Below are 26,159 nucleotides of genomic sequence, written 5' to 3' on the forward strand. Positions count from 1 at the left end.
GGTTTCTGACCCTGATTATTCAGGGCTGCAAACAGGAAGGATTTTATTCACCGTCGATGCGGCCCCGAGTTGTCCCAAAGCGAGGCAGTGCCCCCAAGGTCCGTGCTGAGGAGAACGCTGCTCTGCCTTCGCGGTGTCCCCCGGGTCTGTGCTGAGCAGAACGCAGCTCCGCCCTCCCGGTGCCCCCGGCCCGCCCGGGTCTGTGCCAAGGAGAACACTGCTCCGCCTTCGCTGTATCTCCGAAGTCTGTGCACAGGAGAACTCAGCTCCGCCCTCGCGATGCTCTCCGAGTCTGTGCTGAGCACAACGCAGCTCCGCCCTCGCAAAGGCACAGCGCGGGCGCAGGCGCCCAGAGGCGCACAGGAGACCTCAGGCCCAGACTCCACTCCCCAGCTGTGAAAGGGTAAGAATTGAGGGTGGCTGAGGCTCGGGGTTGTTCAGGGCGGGGTGGGCTCTGGACCCAGCAGGCCCGGCACCCAGGTCAGGGATCCAGGGGAGGCCAGGTGGGGCGAAGGCCAAGAAGGGGCCGGGGCTGGTCAGGAAGGGCTCCTGGTGACCAGAACACTTTGCGTGAGCCAGCGTGGGAGGAAGGTGGGCTGGATGAGCCAGGGAGGCGCCGGGAGGGGCCTTGGCAGAGGCGACCCCCTCCGTCAGCCCCCAGGCCACTGAACCCTGGGTAGCAAGAACCGGCAGGGGAGGCTGCAGACGGAGGAGTGGAGGCTCCTTGGCTTTGGGGGCTCTGAGCAGAAGCATCTAGGGGGTCCCTCAAGAGACCCCCAAATGCTGCCCCATGGTGAGAAAACAGGGAGAGGCCCTGCAGGGACCCCCCGGGGTTACAAAGGGCTGCCACTGTGAGAAGGCAACGCTGCTGGCTGGGGCTGGGCTTTCTACCTCACCAAGCCTCTTCCCACCCAAAGGGCCCAGAGAGGGGCAGCTGCCCCCCCAGCGGGCACAGCACCTCCTCCCTGTGTGATGGGGTGGGGCCCACAGTCTCCTTTCTCGCGGCCTGCCTGGGCTGACCCTGGGTCCCAGCTCGGCCATGGGGCTTCGGCATGTAAAGCCCTTGGGGGGCAGAGCCTCCCGCCCCCGCCAGCTTCTGGCTCTCTGTGTCGCCCCCAGCACTGGACTGGTGCCTTGGAGGGAGGCTCCGCCCTCCTCCACATCAACCCGCTGAGGAGTTCTGTCTTCCCAGGGTTGTGAGGGAAACCAGCTCTGCAGGCCTATGTCCAAGTCTAGGCACCGCCTCCTCCAGGGAGCCTTCCAGACCTGATCTGTGTGGCAGAGGCCCAGAAGGACCTGGGTGTGGGGATCCTAGAGGGAGGCGGGGGACCCAGCGTGAGGAGAGAGGGTCCCAGTGCTTCCTCCTGAGTGAGGGTCACCCATCTGACTCCGGCTGCACAGAGCCACTCCCTCTAAGCGCTCCTGCTCTCTGCCTTCCTGCATTAGCTCTTGCCTGTACCCGGCCCAGCAAACCCCTGCTCATCTTTCAGACCCAAGTTCAAGGCCCCCTCCCACTCCGGGTGGCTCATCACCTGGCCTCCCCAGGCAGAGAGGCTAGGCTCCTGCTCACTGGGGCGTCTCCCTTGCCCACTGGCACGGGACTACAAGGAAAGGGGTTGACCCCCACCCTCCCCCGCCATGCCCAGGAGGGTGCAGACACAACTGGGAAGGTGCTAGAGACCCCGGGGGGAGGCTGGGCCAGCACCAGGCATTGGGGGGCAGGTTCCCGTCTCTACACCCCAGCCCCAGGCGGACAGCGCGTGCCCCTCCCGCTGCCCCACCTGTCACCCACCTGCTGGCCCCGGGCTGTCTCTGCTCCTGGCTCCCCTCCCAGCTGCGTCCCCAGCTGCCTCTCCAGGGAGGAGTGACAGCTGGCCTGTGCCACACCCTCGAGCCCCCCCGGACTACCCCCTCCCTGGGGCAGGACCCCTGCCTGTGGCACAACCAAGGGGCCTGCTGATGGGGGCTCATGTGAGCAGTGCCCCAGCTGTGGGTGTGGGTGCTGCCAGCTGCCACCGCCTTTGCCCTGGTTTCCCAGATAGACCCCGACCCACACTCCGAAGCTGTATCATGAACGCTGTGGTGGGCGGCTGGTGGGGAGCGGGGTTGCCGTCCCACTACCCTCTGGAAGCCTCAGCCATGAAGGGCCCCTGTGGGCACCTTTTCCCGGCACACGGTGCTGTGTTTCTCCACTCTTGGGCTCTGCAGTGACTTGAGGGGTCAAGTCTATGATCCCACGGGAGGCTGGGCTAATGAGGGGACCAGAGACCTCAGTGCTGTGCAGGGAGTCCTGAACCACCCTGGTGGAAGGCCCAGCCCAACTCCCCAGTCCTCCCGCCAGCTCCCTGTGGTGTCCAGGAGACCTGTGGTCAGGCCTGGAGGAGAAGCTCCTCCTCCCCTCGACATCCTCCCTGCAGCCCTTGCTCTTCACCAGAGCCTCCTGACTCCCCAGGACCCCAGAGAGGACTGACCCTCTCCAGCCGACCTCTGGGCTCAGGACAGCTGGGCGGGGCAGCCACAGGAGCTGCCTGTAGGGAGCAGAGTCAGGACGGGGACCGAGCCGGACACCCATTCTGGAAGTGTCTGCACTTCCAGGCAGGGGAAGGACGGCAGTGGGTAGCTGGGAGTGCTGGGCCGAAGATGGGCATTGTCAGGCCCTCAGTGGGGACTGGGAGGTAGAGGTGGGGAGGTCTGTGGAGGAAGGAGAAGAAGGGCCAGTGTCCCGAGTTGGGGGTGGTTGGCAGTGGACGAGGCCGACAGGAACAGACCTGAGCTTGGGGAGCTCCACTCAGAACGAGGCATCCTTCAGGGTTCTGTGCATACTGGTGTCCCTGGCTGGGGGCCGGGCCCCGAAGTGGAGCCTGGGACTGTGAGGGTGGGGGGGGTGTGCTGGGGTGGGAGGTGGATGGAGCCCCCCCTCCACCGCCTGGCCGCTTGGGCTGAACCTTGGACTTCGGAGCCGGAACAGACATAGGAAATGGCCTAACTGCATTTGCGCAGGAACACCAAATCCCTCGCAGCTGCACGGGGCTGAGCCAGGGCCACGGGCGGGGTCGGCCATCCCAGAGTCCTGACAGCTCCGTGGTGTATGCCAAGGGGCCTGGGCCGCTGACCGAGGGGCGCCTTTCCCAGGCCAGAGGCCCCCACCCCACCCCAGGAGAGCTGCCCCCCTTTCAGTTCCCAGAACGGAGCCCGGCTGTGGAATAGTGATGCGGTGAGGTCATGGGGAGGGGGCCCGCATGACTCATATCCTGGGGTAGGGGAAAGGGAGGAGACGGAGAAGGGGCCCAGAGGCCTCCACGTCCTCAGCTCTGCTGGGTCAGAGGCCAGGGGCTGGCGGGGCTTCTCCCCAGCACTGGGTTTTAGGGGAGACACCAGGAGATGCTTACTCTGCATCCCCACTCTGTCCCCCAGGCCCCTAGCCAGGGAGAGCTCAGTCAGAGTGATCCTCCAGGGGCCCAGCTCTGCATGGATGATGTTCCCAGAGTACACACCTGGGCCTCGTGCCAGGGCCGGCACCGCCGTTGTCAGGGCTATGGCAAGGCAAACAGTCAATGTTTGCCTCACTAAAGTGAGGCTGCAGCACCCTGAAGGGATCCCTGGAGGGGGACGTGGTCCCCTTGTTCCCAAGCTTGTCTGCACATGCACGTGGATGTCAAGGGTTCCCGTGTGTGAGCACGTGCATATTTGTATGTGCATGGGGTGCGGGCATGTGTGCCTGTGTGGCCGGAGCGTGGGCTCGTGGAGAATGTGTGTGAGTTGGGTGTGCACCTGCATGTGCCCCAGGCCTAGGGAGTCCCGCGCCCGGCCGCACTCCATGTGTTGGGCATGAGCTGTGAGCAGAGTGAGGGCCTTTATGGGGCTGTTGGGGCCCGGACTCGTTGCCCTTAGGGGTGGACCTAAGGAAACGTGTGCACACGGGCTTCTGGGGTCTCTGTGCCAATGTGTGCTTCCAAGCCACGCCTCCCCTATGGCTTGGTGGAGGGGGTCTGTGGAGCTGGAGTGAGGGCCCTGGACCCATTGGAAGCCCAGGTCCAAGGAGGAGCTTGGGCTCCATCTCATGCCCCAGGCCCAAGGACACACACCCCAGCTGAGACCTTGCTCACATGGAGGGGCTGGGACATGGGAACATGGGGAGCAACATGGCCAGGCTTCTCCTCCATGGAAACCCTCCACCTCCTCAATACTCTGCCCCAGCTCTGCGCCGCCCTCCATTTGGAGGGGCTGGGTCGTGAGTGGGGGCGTGAGTGAGCATGAGGGCCCCTGCACCCCAGGCTCTGCCTCCCCACGTGGAACGAGGCCCAGCAGCCCCCAGCCAGGTGGCTACTACTGCATTCAATCAGTGCCCCTCCATCTAACAAATACTCCCTCATATAATCAGTACTCCTCCATCCAATCAATATTCCTTCATCAACACCTTTCTATACAACCAATAGTCCTCCATCTAATCAATGCTCCTCCATCCAACCAATACTCTGCAATTTAACCACTGTCCCTCCATCCATTCAATGTCCCTCCATCCATCCCATGGTCCCCCAGCCCTACCCCATGAGCAGCATGGAGGCAGACCCACATCTGTCTTGTGCGCCATCATCTCCCTGATGCTCTTCAGGAAAGGGAGGTGTCTCACAATTGCATTGAATGGAGGAAGGCACATCTTTCCAGTGATCCCCACTCTAGGGCTGCATTGGGAAATCGCTCCCAGGGAAAACACAAACACAAAGCAGAGGGTTGCCCAGTGTGACCCTCTGATGTGACCACGGTGGCTGTCCACTAAGGTAATCCTGATGCTTTTCCTCCTCTGCAGACTGCTGGCCAGACCCCCAAGCTAGCCCGCCAGGCCTCCATAGAGCTGCCCAGCATGGCTGCATCCAGTACCAAGAGTTGGTGGGAGACGGGTGAGGTATAGGCTCAGTCTGCGGCCAAGACTCCGTCCTGCAAGGTAAGGTCCCCTCCAGGGGCAAGGCTGGGCTGCAGAGCCAGCACTGGGGAGTTTAGTAGCAGGCCAGGTTTCCTTGTTAAGACAAGCGTGGGACTGTCCAGGATGAATGTGGGCAGACAGAACCCTGAGGTATTGCAGTAGGGTTGGGTTCACCCTTGCTGGTGTAGAAGGCTGTGTTGTCCGAGTGGAGGTGGATGGCACCTTTATTCCTTTCCCTGCTTCTTCCACTGGGATCGCACAGAAAAAGTTTTGGTAGGCAGATCCCAGGCCCCCTGGCCAGGTAAGGCAAGGCAGGAGAGAAGGGCCCAGGGCTTCTACTCCCCAAGATCCAGGGGTCTGCCCTTGTGACATACCCTTCTGCTGCCCCCAGGATATTGTGGCTGGAGACATGAGCAAGAAAAGCCTCTGGGAGCAGAAGGGAGGCTCCAAGACCTCATCAACAATTAAGGTAGAGCCTAAATGTGGTTGGTGCAGGCAGGAAATATTAACTTATTTCATTGTCACACGAAACCAGAAGACATAAAACAGTTAAAATAGGCCAGGCACAGTGGCTCACACCTGTAATCCCAGCACTTTGGGAGGCCGAGGTGGGTGGATCACGAGGTCAGGAGGAGACCATCCTGGCCAACGTGGTGAAACTTGGTCTATACTAAAAATACAAAAAAAAAAAAAAAAAAAAATTAGCCGAGCGCAGGGGCACATGCCTGTAATTCCAGCTACTTGGGAGGCTGAGGCAGGAGAATCACTTGAACCAGCAAGTTGGAGGTTGCAGTGAGCCGAGCTCGCACCCTGCACTCCAGCCTGGCGACAGAGGGAGACTCAGTCTCAAAAAACAAACACACAAGCAAATAAAAAAAACAAAACAACTTGACACACTTAGAAAATGAAGGTTTGTGCTATTGGTTTTCTTTTATTTTAGAAAAACAAAGCATTGTTTAAATATTTCTTACAAGTACAAATATAATTTAAATTTAATAAATGTTCAAAAATATCTGTAATTAAGTTTCATTCAGCAGACATATGTCTAATAGAGAACTTGCTAAGTAAGATATAAAGGATGATTACATGAAAAAATCACAAAATTGTCAGTAAGAGTCTTAAAAGTCAGTGATAGGACAGTAGTTAAAAGATATCAAATAGTTATTTATTCTTAAACATTAAACAGGATATTAATAGTTTTAATAATCTTGAAGTTTGACAACACTGTGAAAACATTACAGACCACTTTTATTTATGAAAATACGTGCAAATAGCAAACACCAGTTGGGCTTAAGGCTGCTACTTACTTACCCAGTAAGTGACAAAGCTGGAATTCAAACCAGGTTTGAGCTATACCACTACTACCCTTGAAAAGGTTTCATTACACTCAGCTTTCCTTAATTTCTTAAACTCTTTTTTTTTTTTTTGATTGAGACAGAATCTTGCTCTATTGCCCAGGCGGGAGTGCAGTGACATGATATTGGCTCACTGCAACCTCTGCCTCCCAGATTCAAGCAATTCTCATGCCTCAGCCTCCCAAGAAGCTGTGATTACCCGTGTGCATCACCACACCTGGCTAATTTTTGTGCTTTTAGCAGAGGTGGTGTTTTGCCATGTCAGCGAGGCTGATCTTGAACTCCTGACCTCAGGTGATCCGATCCGCCCGCCTCGGCCTCCCAAAATGCTGATATTACTGGTGTGAGCCACCACTCCTGGCCAATTTCTTAAACTTTTGATTATACTAAATATGGTCCTTCTGCGTGATAACACTGTTTTTCCTTTTATAAAATTAATCTCTTAAAATACTTTAAAATTCAAAGTACACTTTTTAGATTCTTTAAAATACTCTTTGCCATGTTCATGGCCTTTAGATGTGTGATCATAGCCTATTTGCTTTTCATTGACTTAGTTTCATATTTCTTTGCCTTTTTCCCCCTACTTTTCCTTATAGAACTATTTACTAGTAATGAAATCATTTTAAAGAATACACTTTTTATTCCACCTGCTAACTGTTAAGAGAATGTTTTATAATCACTCTGGTCATGGCCTGTAAGTTTCTTTTCTAAACTATCTTTTCAGGATACATATTTACTAACTTGCTTTCAAATGAATATGGTCATGTCTATGCAGCAAGTTTCTTTTCTTTCTTCTTTTCTTCTTCTCTTTTTTCTTTTTCTTTTCTTTCTTTTTTAAGGCAAGATTTCGCTCTGTAGCCCAGGTTGAAGTGCAGTTGTAGAAACATGACTCACTGTAGCCTCAACCTCTCTGGCTCAAGTGATCTGCCCACTTCAGCCTCCCAGCCAAGTAGCTGGGACTGCAGGTGTGCACCACCCTGCTCCACTAAGTTATTTAGTTTTTTGTAGACATGGATTCTCAGTGTGTTGCCCAGGCTAGTCTTGAACTCCTGGGCTCAAGCCATCTTCCTGCCTTGACCTCCCAAAGTGATAAGATTACAGGCTTGAGACATTATGCCCAACCTCTTTTTCTTTTTCTTTCTTTCTTTCTTTTTTTTTTTTTTTTTGAGACAGTCTTGCTCTTGTTGCCCAGGCTGGAGTGCAGTGGCATGATCTTGGCTCACCGCAACCTCCACTTCCCGGGTTCATGCGATTCTCCTGCCTCAGCCTCCCGAGTAGCTGGGATTACAGGCATGCACCACCACACCCAGCTGATTTTGTATTTTTTAGTAGAGACAGGGTTTCTCCATGTTGGTCAGCCTGGTCTTGAACTCCCGACCTCAGGTGATCTGCCCGCCTTGGCCTCCCAAAGTGCTGGGATTACAGGTGTGAGCCACCATTCCTGGCCCTCTTTTTCTTTTTAACTGAGCTTATTTATCTCTTCCCCAGCTTGAGTCTGGGTCCTACTGTCTTGGTCAGAGTATTTTACTATATTGACCTGGACAATTCTGCCATCATGAACCATATTCCAAACCTAAATATGTAAGAACATAGAAAGATTATTTTAGCAGGAGAATTTTAACACACACACACACTTTATTCTGAAAATTTAGCAACAAAATGAAAGGTGAGTTGTGGTAGTTGATGTATCAACAAATAGAAAGAAGAAAGCCTGTAATCTGTTTCAGAATGCTATTTCTGGGGCTGGTAACATCAAAAATAATCAAATTAAGTGTTAACTTGCTGACTCGTAAGATTTTCTCTAATTTAGAAGTTGGAGAACATATATACTCCTATTACCACTTTCCATCTTTCTCAAATATAGTTTTTATAGTTTTCTGTTGGCTTCATCATCGTATTGAAAGATTATTAATCACTTACATATATGTAGTTTTCTGTTAAGTCCTGTTCAATATATTACAAAATTTTGATCTGTGTATGTAATATCAATTAATAAGATGGTGTTAGTTAAATCAGATTACGTGTTCATTCATTAAGTCATTGTTAATACTTCACAGAATATAAATCGTGTTCCATGAGCATGAATTTCTCTCTGAATTCCACATAATTGTCTTAAAATTATGCACCATTTATTGTTAAGAGTGAAAGATTATGTGTCATTTATTGTAGTGGTAGAAGAAAATAAAACCAAAACAGAATCCAATCCAAAAGCTTAGGTTTTTGTTGCTACTACAGTAATTACATCTTCATATACGAAGGACAGCACATTATTACTGTCCAAGAATGGTGCCTCGGACAACTGGTTGCTTACACTGTTTTCAGAGATGAAATAGGAACATAAGCAGGAAGATTTTTGTCTAAATATGAAGCAAGAAAGGCTTAAATGTCTTTATTCAGGGGATTAGGCATCATAAGTTTTTTTTTTTTTGGAGAAATTGTTTTCATGATATTTCCTATCTCCTTTTGTCACTTTGCTTTTGTCGGTAAATTTTACAACTAAATAAGGATTACCAGGCATAAAAAGCAGCAGACAATCATGATGCAAACTGAAAATAATCAATCAAAACTGACCCAGAACTTAAATAGATGTTAAAATTAGCAGAGGAGGACATTAAAACTGTTTTTATACATGTATCTCATATAATCAAAACATTAAATAGAGACATGGGAGATAAACAAGAAAAGCCAAAATCAAACTTTCAAAGACAAAAACATTTGAGATGAAAATTACATTGGATGAACTAAGGCAGATTAGAAACTGCAGAAGAAAAGATTAGCAAACTTGAAGATACAAGAACAGACACTAGCTAAAGTACAAAAAGAAAAAAAAATGTTAAAAAGTGATTTTTAAAAAGCATCAGTGAGCAGTCAGGCAACTTCAAATGGCCTAATAATATGCAGGTAACTGGAGTCCCCAAAGGAGAAAAAAAAGAAAGAGAAAAAAAATACTTGAAGAAACAACTGCTGAAAATGTTCTAGCCATAACAAGACCTATTAACTCACGGATCCAAGAAACTCAGCAAACCCCAAGCACAAGAAACATGAAGAAAATTACACTAAGGGATAACATAATCAAATTGTTCAAAATCAAGGAAACATTATTAATAGCAGGTGTATAAAAAGACATGTTACCTATAGAAGAACAAAGATAAGAACAACATCAGATTTCTTTTGAGAAACAATGCAAGTGAGAAGACAGCGGTACATCTCTAAAGTTCTAGAAGAAAAAAGGCCAACTAGAATTCTATGCCTAGCAAAAATATCTTTCAAAAATGAAGGTGAAATAAAGACACACCAGAAACATAAATAATGAAATAATTCATCACCAGGAGACCTTCACTGCAAGAAATGTTAAAGGATATTCTTCAGAAACAAAATGATGTCAGATGAAAATCTGGATCAATACGAAGGAATAAAGAGCACCAAAGTGGTAACTATATGAGCAAACATCTTTTAAATTTTTTATTATTTAAATCTCTAAGAGATACATGTTTAATAAAAAAACAGCAAAATGTTACAGAGTTTATAACATATGTAAAAGTCAAATGCATGGCAGCAATAGCACAAAGTGCAGGAGGGAGGAAAAGAAAGTAAATGAAGGAATGCTTTTATTATAGATGAAGTGTACAATATTACTTGACCTCTCTAAATGTGCACTATAATCTTAAAGGAACCACAAAAATAATTTTTAAAAATAGGTAAAAGTAATAAAAAGAGGCAAACTGGAATCATAATAAATAATGTAAGCTGGGCACGGTGGCTCACGCCTGTAATCCCAGCACTTTGGGAGGCCAAGGTAAGCGGATCACAAAGTCAGGAGATCGAGACCATCTTGGCCAACATGGTGAAACCCCGTCTCTACTAAAAATACAAAAATTAGCTGGGTGTGGTGGTGCACACCTGTAATCCCAGCTACTCAGGAGACTGAGGCAGGAGAATCGCTTGAACCCAGGAGGCGGAGACTCTAGTGAACCAAGATAGCGCCACTGCACTCCAGCCTGGCAACAGAGCGAGACTCTCTCTCTCAAAAAAAATAAATAAATAAATAAAGTAAAAGCATGCAAGAAGACCAGGTGCAATGGCTCACACCTGTAATCCCAGCACTCTGGGTGGCCAAGGCAGGAGACTCACTTGAGCTCAGGAGTATGAGACCAGCCTGGACAACATAGTGAGACCCCATATATAAAAAAATAAAGTAGCCGGGTATGATGGTGCACAACTGTGGTCTCCACTATTGGGAGGCTGAGGTAGATCACTTGAGCCTAGCAGGTCAAGGCTGCAGTAAGGTATGATCACACCACTGCACTCTAGCTTGGGTGACAGAGCAAGACCCCATCTTGGCAGGTGGGGGATGCAAGAAAAATGCAAGGAACAGATAGAGATAAATAGAAAACATAAGAAGACAATCATATTAAATGTACATGGTCTAAATACCCCCAATTAAAAAGCAGAGGTTTTAGACCATATACATTTAATGTGATTGTCTTCTTATATGTTTTTATCAGAGAAATAAAACTATCACCTTCAAGAAACACAAGTTAAATACAAAGATGCAAACAGGTTAAAATAAAAGAATGGAATAATATATACCATGCTTACGCTAGTCAAGAGAAAGCTAGAATAGAAATACTAATATCAGGCAAAGCATATTTCAGAGTTAAACACAACATTTTTCCACTATTTGCAGTCAAAAGTATCGTTAACACTCTCTTTACTCTGCTCAAAGTTACAGAGTTCTTTTGTATAAACATTAGAACACTTATCACAGCCTGCCTATAATGGAGAATAATTCCATGTTGTATACTATACAACACTCTTACTAAAGTCCATTAGACAGAAATATGTAGCATTTGAGACATCTTCCAATTATAAAACTCTATGCAAACAAAAATTAACAAAGCAGATCTGAGACTATTATATTATCCTGTGAAGGAGGGTCTGTCTGTCTGCACAGTTGGTCCTAGGCTGGCTTCTGAGGACTTGAATTTCAAGAGGGTTCCATAACTGGTAATCATGGTTTACTGTATCTAGACTATGGAAATAATGTGGCTTATCCTGCTATTCTTTTTGTGAGTCTGGAAATTTCACACATGCTAGGCAGAGTACACATATGTGACCCAGCCGAGATAAAACCTGTGTTTCTTGGGAAGTCACATAGGTTGTTGTATTTTCATTAAGGGGGAAAGAAGGTAGTCTGTGTGATCCTCATGGAAGGCACAGCACATAAGGAAGCCGGTACATGGATTTTTCCAGACTCTGTCAGTGTCTTTTGCCATTGAGATCTTTCTACTATATATCCATACTATGTTACAGTAATAAATCTTAGCCATTACAACCCTAAGCTGATCCCATGAGTCCTTCTAGCAAATCTCCAAACATGGAGGCAGTCTTGTGGATCCCTGACACAAATATAGTGTTGTGATCTCTTAAGGTTTATCCTTCCTCTTAAACTATAAAGAGCTGGCTGGGCACAGTGGCTCACGCTTGTAATGCCAGCACTTTGGGAGGCCGAGGCGGGTGGATCACGAGGTCAAAAGATTGAGACCAGCCTAGCCAACATGGCGAAACCCCGTCTCTACTAAAACTACAAAAATTAGCAGGGCGTGGTGGCACACATCTGTAGTCCCAGCTACTCGGGAGGCTGAGGCAGGAGAGTCGCTTGAACCAGGGAGGCAGAGGTTGCAGTAAGCCGAGATCGCACCACTGCACTCCAGCCTGGTGACAGAGGGAAACTTCATCTCAAAAAAAAGAAAGAAACTATAAAGGGCTGGGTGCAGTGGCTCACGCCTATAATACTAGCACCTTGGCAGGCCCAGGTGGGAGAATTGCTTGGGCCCAGGAATTGAGACCAACCTGGACAACAGAGCAAGACCCTGTCTCTTAAAAAAAAAAAAAAAGAAAAGTTGGCCGGGTGTGATGGATCACACCTGTAGTCCCAACACTTTGGGAGGCCGAGGTGGGCAAATCACAAGGTCAAGAGTTCGAGACCAGCCAGGCCAACATGGTGAAACCCCATCTCTATCAAAAAAAATACAAAAAATTCACTGGGCATGGTGGTGGGCACCTGTAATCCCAGCTACTTGGAAGGTTGAGGCAGGAGAATCACTTGAACCTGGGAGGCAGAGGTTGCAGTGAGCTGAGATCACGCCACTGCATTCCAGCCCGGTGATAGTGTGAGACTCCATCTCAAAAAAATAAAAAAGAAAAGAAAAGAAAAGTTAGCCAGGTATGGTGGCATGCATTTGTGATCCCAGCTACTCTAGAGGCTGAGACAGGAGGACTGCTTGAGCCTAAGAAGTCAAGGTTGCAGTAAGCCATGATCATGCTACTGCATTCCAGCTTAAACAACTGAGATGCTATCTCTTAAAAACAGAAGTAGAAGCAAACAACTATAGGGGAAAATGAGGGATACATACTTTAAGAATTTTTAAAAATTTACATGGAAAAACACCAGGATTCTATAGAAAATAAAACAGTATTAAATAACATTATTTATAAAATAGATACTAGCAAATTACCTTACGTAAAGATTCAAGTCAGTAACTTAAAGGATCTTACATAAAAGTACTTTCCGTTGGTTGGAGGAGAGATTTTTACTATACACTGTTTTTCAATTTTTTTAGACAAATTACATTTAAAAGTTTAAATTTGCTTATCTACATTCTTAATGTGAATTGCCACCTTACTATAGGAAGGCTATTTTTGTTCCTGCAGTCTACAAAAAGAACAAAAATATTAAAAACGTACAACTCTTCTCACAGAACTAAGTTGGTTTTATACAAAGACATCTGGCACAAAATACAATGATATTTCAATATAGAATTACAGCAGGGGATGAGGGTGGAGAAGGAAGAGATTACCAGTTCTAAGAGGGGAGACAACAGAAGTATTTTTTTAATGTCTTATTTTAAGAGTAAAACACCTGCTTTTTTTTGAGATGGAGTTTTAGGCGGGAGTGCAGTGGAACGATCTCGGCTCACTGCAATCTCTGCCTCCAGGATTCAAGTGATTCTCCTGCCTCAGCCTCTTGAGTAGCTGGGATTACAGGCACACGTCACCACGCCAAGCTAATTTTTGTATTTTTAGTAGAGAGGGGGTTTCACCACATTGGCCAGGCTGGTTTCAAACTCCTGACCTCAGCCTCAGCCTCCCAAAGTGCTAGGATTACAGGCATGAGCCACCATGCCCAGCCAACACTGAACATTTTGTTCAGAACTAGTTAAGAAAACAGAAATATACATTGGGGGTTTATGGATTACTTATTTTTGGGGTGCAATACTGGGAATAGAAGAGAAAGGAGCTTCCTTTCCCTCTCCTTTCATTCATTCATTCATTTTGAGAAGAAGTCCTGCTCTGTTGCCCAGGATGGAGTGCAGTGGCGAAAACTCAGCTCACTGCAACCTCCACCTCCTGGGTTCAAGCAATTCTCCTGCCTCAGCCTCCCAAGTAGCTGAGATTACAGGCACGCACCACCACACACAGTTAATTTTTATACTTTTTTAGTAGAGACAGGGTTTTGCCATTTTGGCTAGGCTGGTCTCCAACTCCTGACCTCAGGTGATCCACCTGCCTCAGCCTCCCAAAGTGCTGGGATTACAGGCATGAGCCACCGCACCTGGCCAAGAAAGGAGCTTTAGATAAATAAAATGATTAAACATTTGTAGCATGTAGAATGAAACTATTCCCTTAGTAATACTCAAATTATCCAGATTTCCAAGATGTTGGTAGCACCCCGAGAGCTTCAAAAGGGAAATTAAAAGAAAAACGACGTTACCCTTCCTGAAACACAGATTCACTGTTTGCCATATTCTTTTCTCTAGTAAAAGATGAATAGTTTCCCCTGGAAAAACTAAAAACAATCTGAGGTATATTTCAGAGAAAACAAAATTGCTTGATAAAAATGCCATGTTAACAACTGAGGAAATTATTTTACATACATTAATTTTAACACAGGAATAATATGTCAAACCAGGATTTCTCAACCTCAGCACTATCGACATTTTAAGCTGTATAGTTTTTGGTGTGGGAAGCTGTCCTGTATATTGTAGAATGTTTAGTGGCAGCCCTGGCCTCTACCCAAGAGGCCAGTAGGACCTACCTCCTCATTCAAGCTAATGCACTAAATTTTTCCCTTCATTGACAAATCCCATTAATGCGTGTATTTATCCCATTAGTTACTCTCTTGTGTTCCAGGTACTTTGTTAGGCACCAGAGAAAATATGATAAAGCAAAACAGCTATTTTCCTCACTCTCATGGTGCTTACAGCCATGGTGGGAAAAATCCACAGGAAAAGACTCACATACACAAATGCAGGCAGAATAAAAAAACTCACACAAACAAACGTTGCAGATGTTGTTAAGTTACATAAAGGAGATATGCATGGCTGTGCATGGTGGCTCGTGCCTGTAATCTTAGCACTTGGGGAGGCCAAGGCAGGTGGATCACTTGAGGCCAGGAGCTCAAGACCAGCCTGGCCAACATGGCGAAACCCTGTCTCTACTAAAAATACAAAAATTAGCCAGGCATGGTGGTCCATGCCTATGATCTCAGCTACTTGGGAGACTGAGGTGGGAGGATCACTTGGGCCCAGGAGGCAGAGGGTACAGTGAACTGAGATTGCACCACTGCAATCTCAGCCTAGGAGACAGAGAGAGACGTCTCCTGTTCTCCTGGAGAACAACAAGTCATGATGTCAGACAAGAACTTGGATTTTGGAGACACGGGTTTGAATTTCAGTCATTCATTCTTTTATTCAGTAAATATTTAGCAAGTACTGACATGTCCCAGATGTTGTTTTACTCACTGGTTATACAATGGGAGGGAGACAGAGAAAGAGAGAGAGAGAGAGAGAGAGAGAGAGAGAGAGAGAGACGCTATTCTAAAAGCTTGAAGTCTAGGCTGTGCAGAGTGGCTCATGCCTATAATCGCAGCACTCTGGGAGGCTGAGGCGGGTGGATCATGAGGTCAGGAGATTGAGATCATCCCGGCTAACACAGTGAAACTCCCTCTCTACAAAAATACAAAAAATTAGCTGAGCATGGTGGCAGGCGCCTATAGTCCCAGCTACTTTGGAGGCTGAGGCAGGAGAATGGCGTGAACCCAGGAAGCGGAGCTTGCAGTGAGCCAAGATCACACCACCGCACTCCAGGCTGGGCGACAGAGCCAGACTCCATCTCAAAAAAAAAAAAAAAATGCGTAAAGTCTAGATAGACTTTAACCCAGGAATAATCCAAGGAAATGAACAATTACGAATGTGACAAGGGCTGTGAAGGGAAAGTTCACAGCCTTATCGAAGTGTACAGTAGTTGGGGAGGTTGGCCAAGGCAAGATGTTTAGGAAAGGCTTTCCTGGGGAAATTTCTCTTTGGGTTGAATCACAGTTAAGTAGGCAAAGGGGAAGACAGAGGGAAGGGAAGTATGGCAGGCAGGAAGAATAGGCACTTAATAGCTTTGGGATATTGGGCAGGTCGCTTGATCTTTCTGAGCTTCAGTTTTCTCATCTGGGAAATGAGTTAATAATAGTCGTTTAGAAAGTGTGATGAGACCAGCCAGGTGTGATGGCTCAGGCCTGTAATCCCAGCACTTTGGGAGGCCGAGGCAGGTAGATCATGAAGTCAGGAGATTGAGACCATCCTCGCCAACATGGTGAAACTCTGTCTCTACTAAAAATACAAAAATTACCCAGGCATGGTGGCGTGTGGGAGGCAGAGGTTGCAGTGAGCCAAGATGGCACCACTGCACTCCAGCCTGGGTGACAGAGCGAGACTCCACCTCAGAAAAAAAAAAAAAGGAAGAAACTGTGATGAGATCAAAACAGTTAATGCATGAGTGTTCTGAACCTCGTTTCTCCCTCTGCTGTATCTATGCAGTTTCTTGACCTGGGCTGTGCTCCAAAGAGGATTCTAGCTTGGCTTTTGTGATAGAGGATGGATACATTATTAGACCTGAAAAGCCAGAGCAGGGAGGAATGGTCCCAAAAGGAAGAAACTGTGCTTGTCTTCACAATAAAGAGCAGAGAAGTGGGAGAGGTATTGAAAGCTGTGGGTGGAGTTTTGCAGGTAAGATTGTGTGAAAGAGGTGAGGGAACTACAATCTAGGGGAATGTGGATAGGAGAGTAAAAGGGAATTCTAGAGAACAATCCCTACTGACTTCACACAACTTAAGAAATGCAAGTAAAGGGCCGGGCGCGGTGGCCCACACCTGTAATCCCAGTACTTTGGGAGGCAGAGGCAGGTGGATCACTTGAAGTCAGGAGTTCAAGAAGAGCCTGGCCAACATGGTGAAACCGCATCTGGGTTAGCCAGGCATGGTGGCATGTGTCTGTAATCCCAGCTACAGAAAGATAGAGAGGTGGCTGAGGCAGGAGAATTACTCAAACCCAGGAGTTGGAGGTTGCAGTGAGCCGAGATCACACCACTGCACTCCAGTCTGCTGGACAACAGAACAAGACTCAGGGGGTGGGGTGGGGGAAGGAAAGAAGGAAGGAAGGAAGGAAGAAAGGAAGGAAGGAAAATAGAAATAGAAATGCAAGTAAAGAATTTCAGTTTGAAAATTGCCTTTTGTCTACTGAACATGAGACTGCTTGGAAACTGGGCAACGTGGATTTTTATAAGTTGTACAAAGCACTTAGCAATTTTCAAACCTCTCCATCCTGCAGAGCCAGCTCAATCACTTCTCCAGAAAGACTTACTGAGTCCTCTGCACTGAACAGGTGTCCTGTGCTCCAGGAGAGCCCTGGGCTGGCTCCTAGTGTAGCCATTATGACCCTGGAATGCACCATCTTTCACATCACTGCCTGGCCTTCTAGAATCTCAGCTTCTTAAATCAAGAAATTGTGTCTTGTTCATGTCTGAATTCCCCAAGTGAACACAGTGAGTGGGTGCTTGACAAATCTTTGTTGGTAATGAGCAAAAAAGGGGATTCTGTGCCCAATACCATGAAATCAATGCACAGAAGATTCAATCAATCAAGAAAGGTGCACAGACGCTGGCCACACACACTGACATTTGTTTTCAGATGTTCCAGTCCCCCTGACTTCCACCAACCCATTCATTCATTCCACAAGCATTTTTGCTGGGGTGGAAGCAGGGCCATACAGGGTGTGTAAGTAACAGATAGGGTGGGTTTGTATAATGAGTATAAAAAACTTCTAGCAGAAGATGACAAAGTATATCAAGAAAGGGCTCTCTTCGAAATCACACCACTGCACTCCAGCCTGGGTAACAGAGGGAGATTCCATCTAAAAAAAAAAAAAAAAAAAAAAAAAAAAAAAACAGGGATGGGGGCAAGGGAGCTCTTTTTTTCCAGTTAGCACAAGATTGCCATTTCAGCTAGGGATTCTGCTGCAACTATCTCCCAGACCCTATTCTAGGGCCCGGGGATAGAAACAGAATCAAAAACATATTCCTTGTCTTTTTTGGGCTTATATTATTGAGGAGAGAGAAATAAACAATTTCAAAATAAACAATGTCATACAGTGCTAAGTGCTATAAATAAAATCAAACAGAATAACGAAAGAGAAAGTAGCTAGACTGGAGGGAAAAGCTGCTTCAGAATGAGTTGTCAAGGAAGCCTCTTTGCAATCAGAAAGGTGAGAAGGATTTAGTCAGGCAAATATCAGGAGTAAATTATTCTTGGAGGAAAGTAAGCCCATGCAAAGGCCCTGGGGCAGAGTGGGCTTATTTGATAAAGAGGTAAAAGGGTCAGGATATCTGTAGCAATAGTGGCCAAGGGAGGGAGAGGTATGAGACAGAGGAGGTGAGCCCTGTTGCCATGGTGAGGGCATGAGGATTTATTCTAAGTTCCAGATACCTGGAGTTAAAGTCCCCTGAACTGGACAACAACTACAAGCCTTCATATCTCAATGCTACCATCTTTAAGCCCCTGTTATAAGAGCTCAGAGGCTTCAGAGATGACAGGAAACACCAGAACGCTATGGTGGAGCATATCTAGGTGCCTTCTCCCAACTCAGATCCTTTGACTATAGAAAGACACAGATTTCAAGGCTGAGATCCACAAAACTCTAGCAAATACTGCACAGACACTGACCAATGACAGCAGGTGCTGCCTGTCACCCTGGAGCACCAGGCAGGGTTCCAAAGCACCCTTGCTGTGCCAGCCTCTGATTGCTGGTTATAGGGAGGTCTGGGGTAGTCCCAAAAGCTGGGATGTCTAAGGCAGCTGGGGTCAGTCAGGAGGCTCAGGGCAGTGGCAGGAAAATATTTTCCTCCCTGGTAGAGCCACAGCGGGGTATCCAGGCTGAATATTATTGGCGAGAAGGACCATGGCACCGCACCAAGACCTGCAGGACAAACTTTGTTGGAGCTGAATCCAGAAAAACAATCTTCTTCTAAACCACTCTCCTGCCCCTCATTTAATTATTGTGCTTTTGGGTGCACTTGGACTACTCTGAAACATTCAGAACTCTGTCAAAAAAAAAAAAAAGACCTCTCTCCTCAGCACCTCTCCCACTTGGGCATCAGTCTTGGCTTCCTCTCTACTTGCTTTCACTTGCTCCTTGTGGCAGAGATTGCCCTCAGCAGATCCCTTCCCTTAGGTTCCTTGCTGTCAAGTGGAGGCTAGGGAGCGAGATTATGGCCAATAGAATGTGGGCGGAACCACAGATCTGAGCCTGAGGAACATCCCACAGGACCCTGAGCTCTTCCTCCAGCTGCTGCAGTGGCCTTGGAAGCCATGTCTGTTCTAGAAGTGTAGCTACAGATGGAGAAGGCCCATGTGCTAGCTAGTCTCCAAAGATGGCGTATCAGGCCATTCTTGCGTTGCTATAAAGAAATATCTGAGATAAGTTAATTTATAAAGAAAAGAGTTTGTATTGGCTCATTGTTCTGCGGGCTTCACAAGAAGCATGGTGCTGGCATCTGCTTGGCTTCTAAGGAGGCCTAGGAAGTTTACAATCATGAGCAGGCACATCATGTGGCCAAAGCAGGAACAAGGAAGAGAGAGTCGGTGGGTGTGGGGAGGGACATGCCACACACTTTTAAATAACCAGATCTCACAAGAACTCACTATCTCAAAGACAGCAGCAAGCCATGAGGGATCTACCCCCATGGTCAAAACAACTCCCACCATGCCCCAACTCCAGCACTGGAGACTGCAATTTAACTTGAAATCTGGGTGGAGATAAATATCCAAATTATATCAGAGGGCCTTCCCTCGAACCAAACCTCCTGGTTTCCAGGTCCCCTTTCTTGCTGCTTCTGGGCTGGCCTCCTGGGAAGCCAAGACTGCAGTGGCTCTGATGCTGCATGGGGGCTGAGGCTCAGCCATGAGGAGGCTCGCAGCTGCCACTTTGGTCTTTTGGAAACTTTGCTCATGAGAGTCTCCCCGTTGGGCCGCAGCCACCATGCTGAGAAATGAGGGTCATGTGGAGAGGCCACATGGAGGTTTTCTGGTCTAGAGCACAACTGAGCTCCCAGAAAGCAGCCAGCATCAATGGCTGGGCATGTAAGCCAGCTGGCATGGACATTCCAGACCAGTCTGTCCTTTTGTCACCTTAGCTACAGGGAAGGCCCATGACCCCAGAAGTGCCCATCATTATGCTGAATTCCCGAGCCTCAGTGGTCCACTGAGGTGTGGAAGCATGTCTCACAAGGGTCAGATGGAGTTCTGGCCTGGATTGATGTGTAGAAGCTGGAGAGAGAAGCTGGGTTTCTTTCAGCTGGGGTGGCTCTGCTGGGATGTGGTGGGCCTTTTGGGTTTCCAGGTGGTCATTTTCCTTATTTGCAGTAGAAGGAACGAGACCCATATAGAGAATAGAGCAAATTAAAAGGAGAGAAAGAGAAAAAAGTAAGGAGAGAGGGAGAAAGAGAAAAAGAAGGAAAAGAAGAACGGAGGGAAGGAGGAGAGGAAAGAAAAAGAGAAGGAAAATGAGAAGGAGGAGAGGAAGAGGAGAGAGAGAGAGAAAATAACTTACTTGAACCTTCAAATTCAGGCATACCATGGTCTTTGCAGTTATAAAAATCAATAAGTCACCCTTCAGCTGAAACATGTCTAAGTGGAGTTTCAGTTGTTACAACTGACAGAGCCCTGCCTAGCACAAGGAATAAACAATGTTCAGCAGTGGCATGAGAACAAGGGACAGCCTGTTTGGTGGGCAGCATGGCAAATGACTGTCTGGAAAATATGATGCTTGGGCTGGAGGGCAAAGTGGAATTCACCAGCATGCAGGGTGGAAGTACGACCCTAGCAGACGGAACAGCACTGGCAAAGGCTCAGAGGCAAGAAGCTTTACATGTGAAAGGATACATTTTTAGAACACTAAACATTCTCCCTGTTATCCAAAACACTGAGTTTCTCTTCATTTTTTGGCCAGGTGTGGTGGCTCACGCCTTTAATCCCAGCACTTTCAGGGCTGAGGTGGGTAGATCACCTGAGGTCAGGAGCTCAAACCAGCCTGACCAACATGGCAAAACCCCATCTCTACTAAAAATACAAAAATTAGCTGGGTGAGGTGGCAGACACCTGTAATCCCAGCTACTCGGGAGGCTGAGGGAGAAGAATAACTTGAACCAGGAGTCAGAGGTTACAGTGAGCTGAGATCGTGCCACTGCACTCCAGCCTGGGAGATGAGACAGAGCAAGACTATCTAAAAAAAAAAAAAGACTGAGTTTCTCATCATTTTTTGAAATTGAGAGTTTTCTCTGTATCGATAAGACCTTATAATGCAAAATATAATATAATATGCAGCTAGGTCTCCACAGCCTTCAGTCTTTCCCAGGGAGGGTTCCATGAGCTGCTTGTCTGGTGGGGATGGTGGTTTTGAGCAAGTAGTTGGTGTCCTGTCTTACCCAGGCTCTTTCCCACAAAGAGTTGGGAAGAATTAAAAACTACTGGAAACCAAGATCTCTCCCTGATGTTGACTTTCAGAGCTCAGCCTCATCAGCACAGGCTCTAATCAGCTAAGCAGCTGCCTCGTTTCATCCAGCCAGAGCCCTGATCTCAGGGGTTGATAGTGAGGAAATGATCCTTTCACATGCCTGGCTCCTGCAAAATTGTGCTAAGAGGATTTTCCTCAAACAGTTTAGCACAGAGCGAGGTTTCCTGATCCAGTTAGCAAATATTCTTCTGTTTGAACTCACTGACCCTCCTTTTTCTGAAGATGTATTTTAAATTGGATTTGCTTCACTGACACAAATGGAAAACTTGATAAGAAAATCGGTGGGATTTTGCTGCACCCACTGCTGATATCAAGACTGAACTCTGTATTATAGCAAGAAAAGCTCTGTTCTGTGGCTACAGGATACATGCTGAGCTCCCAGCCACCAGCCCTGCCAATGTGCTCAGCTTGGCACAGGGCAGGGAGCAGGGTACAGGGGAGGGGATGGGGAGGGGCAGGTGGAAAGGCTCAGGTGATGAGCCAGCCACATCACCTCAAGCACAGGACCCCTGATGGTGGCCCTAGATCCTCCTCTTGAAATCCAAAGCTCAGTCCCTCTCCCCAGTTCAGGAGCAAGGAGGTTTCTGGCAGGTTAAAATGGCTAACTCAAGAGCTTGCCACCTTTGAAAGGCAGCACTGTGTAGACAGAGGCAGAAGGATGGGCTTACGAGACAGTCCTGGCTTCAAATCCTTCTCTGACTTACCAGCTCTGGAACCTTAAGCAAGTGACGTAACCTCTCTAAGCCTCAGTTGCCTCATCTTTAAAATGGCATCCCTAATCCTTACTATGAAGAGATATCATGGGTAAATGAGATGCTGTACTTACGAAAGGGCAAGTCCCTGTATTGGTCAAGTGTTTTTACAGCATTGCTGCATAACACACAGCCCCAGGGGCTCAGCAGCTCAAAACAAGTGTTTATTTCTTGCTAATAATTTGCAGTGAGCTGGGAAGCCTTGCCTCGGACTGGGGGCCAGGCTCTGTTTGCTTCTGTGTGTCTCATTCACAGGCCAGTGGTTCCCCGGAGCTTGCTCTTCTCATTGTGCAGGGGTAGGGTCAGTGCTGCCACCCAACACCACATTCAGTTAGAGCCTCCAGTCAGACCAGGCATGCACTAACTCTGCTCATGCATCTCTAGCCAAAGCTGGTCATGTGCACAGCAAGAAATCTGCTCTGTCCTGTCCACAGGGAAGTCGCAGGAATGTGGAAAGGCCAGGAAGGATTGTGAGCCAATAATACATCTTGACAATCCACAATAGATGGAAGCTATTATTGATTCATTATCTCAAAATGGCTCCACCAGCCAACCCCTTCTATCCATCCCCAGTGCTACCTCCTAATTGAGGTCCTCGACGCTTTTTGCTTGCATGGCTGCCAGAGCCTTTGGGCAGGTCTCTGTGTTGATGTGTTCACCCCCACTCCTATCTCCTCCATCCAACGCTCTACCACCAAGGCAATCCTCCTAAAACACAACCACAGTGTTCTTCACACTCCCTATGATTCCCTGCCACCCACATTATTAATCATTAATCCAATTAATAAAAATTAATGTACTAATCCCCAGCTCCTCAGTGTGGCCCTTCACAATCTGCTTGTCCAGCCTCGTCTCTTGCCTCCCCAGCTTTCCCCAGCAGACCCCTCTCCCACCCATTCCAATGCCATCCTCTTCTCCCAGCCTAGTTCTTTCAGGCCCTGTGCGTTTGCACTTGCCCCTGTCTGAAATGTCCTTCCCACTTCTTCTTGAAGGGGGTGAGTGCCAACTCACCTTTCCAACCCCACACCAATGCACACCAGGATCTCCCCAAGACTCCAGGGTAGTAGTCACCATCTGTATTTCTGCAGCACACTGCACCTGCCTCTAGCACAGCTCGACAGCCCACTGAAGTGAATGATCTGTTCGATCGGTGCCGACTTGCCTTTCTTTCCCAGCTGCAAACCACCCAAGGTGAAGTCATCTTAGCCTCTTGGAGTCAGCCTGACTGGGGTGAACCCATTGATATGTATTGCATAAATGAACATATCATGACAGTAGTGATGAGGGATCTCCAGCTATCCGTGTACTCTCTATGCTTCCCAGACTCTTTGGCAGTTGCACTGGGTACTGGCTGAGTTCTGGAAAACAGGAATGTGAGCAGAGTGCTGCAGATCTCCTTGTCAGGAGCACCTAAGAACTGGCATGACTCTACACCCTCTCTCCTTCTGCAATGACCTCGTGTCAAGATGGCAGACCCGCAGAGATGAATGTGCCTGGATACCTGAGTCACCAGGTGGAGGAAACTCCCATTGACATGCATCACACTCCACATATGAAACCCTTCTTTTTCTGCACTGTCACTGGGGTTAGGGATTATTACTCACTGCAACTTAGCCTAGCATTAAGTTGCTTGACTAATACAAGTTTCAATAAATGTCGCTTCATTTCCCATGGCTTCTGACTGAATGCTGTGCAATATCCACAAACCATCCAGATTGTGGTTTATAAATACCACCCTTCACTAAAAGGACTCAGAGCTCCTTGTAGAAATGGCTGATGCTAAGGCTGGGGTAGGGAAGTACAAGGTGAGCCCAGAGTGCTGTGTGGTGCCAGAAAGCAAGGAAGCATTTAAAAAATGACAGGGACATGTCAAAGGACACATCAATCAACTTCAAGGGGCTTCCACTGGCCAAATCTAGGATGATGTGAGCATCCAAATTAATAATGATAATGGTAGATTATAGTCTATTGAATAAAATGGGAACCTATAGCTATAGAAAGAAAGAAAAGGGAAGGAAGAAAAGAAAGAAGAAGAGAGGGAGGGAGGGAGAGAGGGAGGGAGGGACGGAGGGAGGGAAGAAGGAAGAAGACTTTCTTACAGTAGAATGCCAATGAATAAATACAGAGGGAATAATAGAAAACTCCATTTGCAAACATGATCATAATAGTTTATTCAAGGAAGAATCATCACTGAGTGAAAATTTAGGAAGGTAAAGTATGTTTTCATTGTCTCATAGCACTTCCACTCATATGGTTTATTAATTGCAAAGAGAAAAAGTGGTAACTTAACAGTAGAGAAACCCAGCAGGTCCTCCCTTAATGAGCTGAACAAAGTTAACAACACCAGGAATAGGACAAATGGGTGCCAAGTGTTTCTTGATGTGATACACTGAGAACACAGCATTGCTTCTGTAGCATTCCGGTCCCTGGAGGAAACATCAGACAAACACAGATGGAGGGACCTTCAAGGACTGACCTGAACTGTTCTTCGGCGTCAACCCCATGATAGACAAAAAGAGGCAGAGGAACTGTTCCAGATTAAGGGAGACTAAAAAGGTATGACAGCTGGATCAGGGGAAACGTGCCTTAAAGGGCATTATTGGGACTGTTGGCGAAATTTTAAGTGAACTGTATATTAGACAATTATCAAGGACTACACGATTGTATGGCATCAACCTCAAATTCCCCGAACTTGAGCACTAGAGTCTTCTTGTTCTGATGGAATATGTTCTGGAATGTTTAAGGGAGAGGAGAAGGATGCCTGCAACTGAATTTCAAATGGTTCAGGGAAAGATAATAGAGTAGAATAGACTATATAGATGGAGAAAGTAAATGTGGCAAATAACAATTGGTGAAGGTGGGTGAAGGTCATGAAAGTTCTTTGCCTTACAATTAATTCTTCTATAAGTCTGAAATTATTTGAAAATAAGAGAAATGCTTTCAGCTGTGAATAACAGAAAGCCTGACTACTTGTGGCTTTTGCAATAAAGACATTTAGTTATGTAACATAACAGGATTTAAGAGGAAGAAGGCAAGGACTTGAAAAGGCTCAGTGATGTAGCTGAGGCCCCAGATTCCTTTTATCATTTTGTCCAAAGGCTCCACCTTCCTGAATATTACTGCTTTATACCCTTGGAGCTTCATGATCACAGGATGGCTGTTATAGCTCCAGCCATCATGACCAAGTTCAGACTCCAGGAACAAGATGGAGGAAGCTATGTCAAGGGGGGCTTTTCTTGATGTGTCTCTCGCCTTTAACCAGTGAAGAAAATCTTCTTAGAAGGACACAGCAGACTTCTCCTTATGTCTCATTATGCAGAAGTGGACCACAGGACAGTCCCTACTGTAAACTCTTTCAAGTATCAGGCAAAAAGGAACAAAAGGCCCCAGCCTGGCTTAAACCAACCTTGAGTCATCACCTGACACTGGACACTTTGTTTATCCAAGCAAAATCAGGATTTTCTGTTAGCAAGCAAAGGAACTGCTCATGGGTAAGAAATTAACAGTGTGTGCCATAATTCATATTTGTCGCCAAGCATCTTCTCAGGCTGACACTGTGCCAAACAAGGGATTATAGAGATGAAGATGCAGCTTCCATCCCTGAAAGCTCACAGTCCATTCTCTCAGGGCAATCCCGGTAACCTCCTCATCACAATCATCCATCCAGATCATGGAAGTCCCTTTACTCCCCAAATAAGAAGGAGTAGCAGGAAAAAGTGACCTCATCAAGCTGACTCGAGTTTTTCCAAAAGCAAATAAATAAATAAATAACTTTTTAACCTGCACAGCCAAATATCAAATAAATACATGTGTGTTTTTTGGGGGGGTTGGGGGGTGTTTTTTTTTCTGAGCTTCCTGTGGTATTGAAACTATCTCCCACTTCCTCCTTTTTGTCTCAAAAGATCTTAAGCATTGGGCCAGACACAGTGGCTCCTGCCTGTAATCCCAGTACTTTGGGAGGCTGAGGTGGGCAGATTGCTTTAGCCCAGGTGTTCGAGACGAGTCTGGGCAACGTAAAAATAGCCCATCTCTAAAAAAATAAAATAAAATAAAATACAAAAATTAGCCAGGCATAGAGGTGGATGCATGTAGTTCCAGCTACCTGGGAGGCTGAGGTGGGAGGATCACTTGAGCCCCAGGGGTTGAGGCTGCAGTGAACCATGATCATCACATCTGGGCAACAGAGCAAGACCCTGTCTCAAAAAAAAAAAAAAAAAAAATCTAAGCATCCATT

General features: G+C 47.0%; 1 pseudogene across 3 annotated transcripts, besides 1 other annotated feature; it reads left to right on the forward strand.

Moving 5' to 3' along the window:
* The first annotated feature begins 330 nt into the window (after window positions 1-330).
* LSP1P5 (LSP1 pseudogene 5) lies at window positions 331-25,058 on the forward strand (annotated as a pseudogene). Of its 3 annotated transcripts, none has more exons than NR_027355.2 (4): window positions 331-403; window positions 4,808-4,942; window positions 5,313-5,390; window positions 23,249-23,599. The product of NR_027355.2 is annotated as an LSP1 pseudogene 5, transcript variant 2 (transcript). The 3 variants fall into 3 exon arrangements; NR_027354.2 differs by lacking the exons at window positions 331-403; window positions 23,249-23,599 and adding exons at window positions 2,423-2,595; window positions 24,341-25,058; NR_027356.2 differs by lacking the exon at window positions 5,313-5,390.
* Window positions 2,107-2,401: a silencer, noted in NCBI's record as "tiled region #154 duplicate 3; K562 Repressive non-DNase unmatched - State 20:ReprD". NCBI's record gives its function as "represses a minimal TATA promoter and a strong SV40 promoter by Sharpr-MPRA in K562 cells {active_cell/tissue: K562}" and the evidence as "EXISTENCE:reporter gene assay evidence [ECO:0000049][PMID:27701403]".
* Window positions 25,059-26,159: the final 1,101 nt, after the last annotated feature.

Source organism: Homo sapiens, chromosome 1 (genome assembly GCF_000001405.40).
Source record: "Homo sapiens chromosome 1, GRCh38.p14 Primary Assembly".
NCBI lineage: Eukaryota > Metazoa > Chordata > Mammalia > Primates > Hominidae > Homo > Homo sapiens.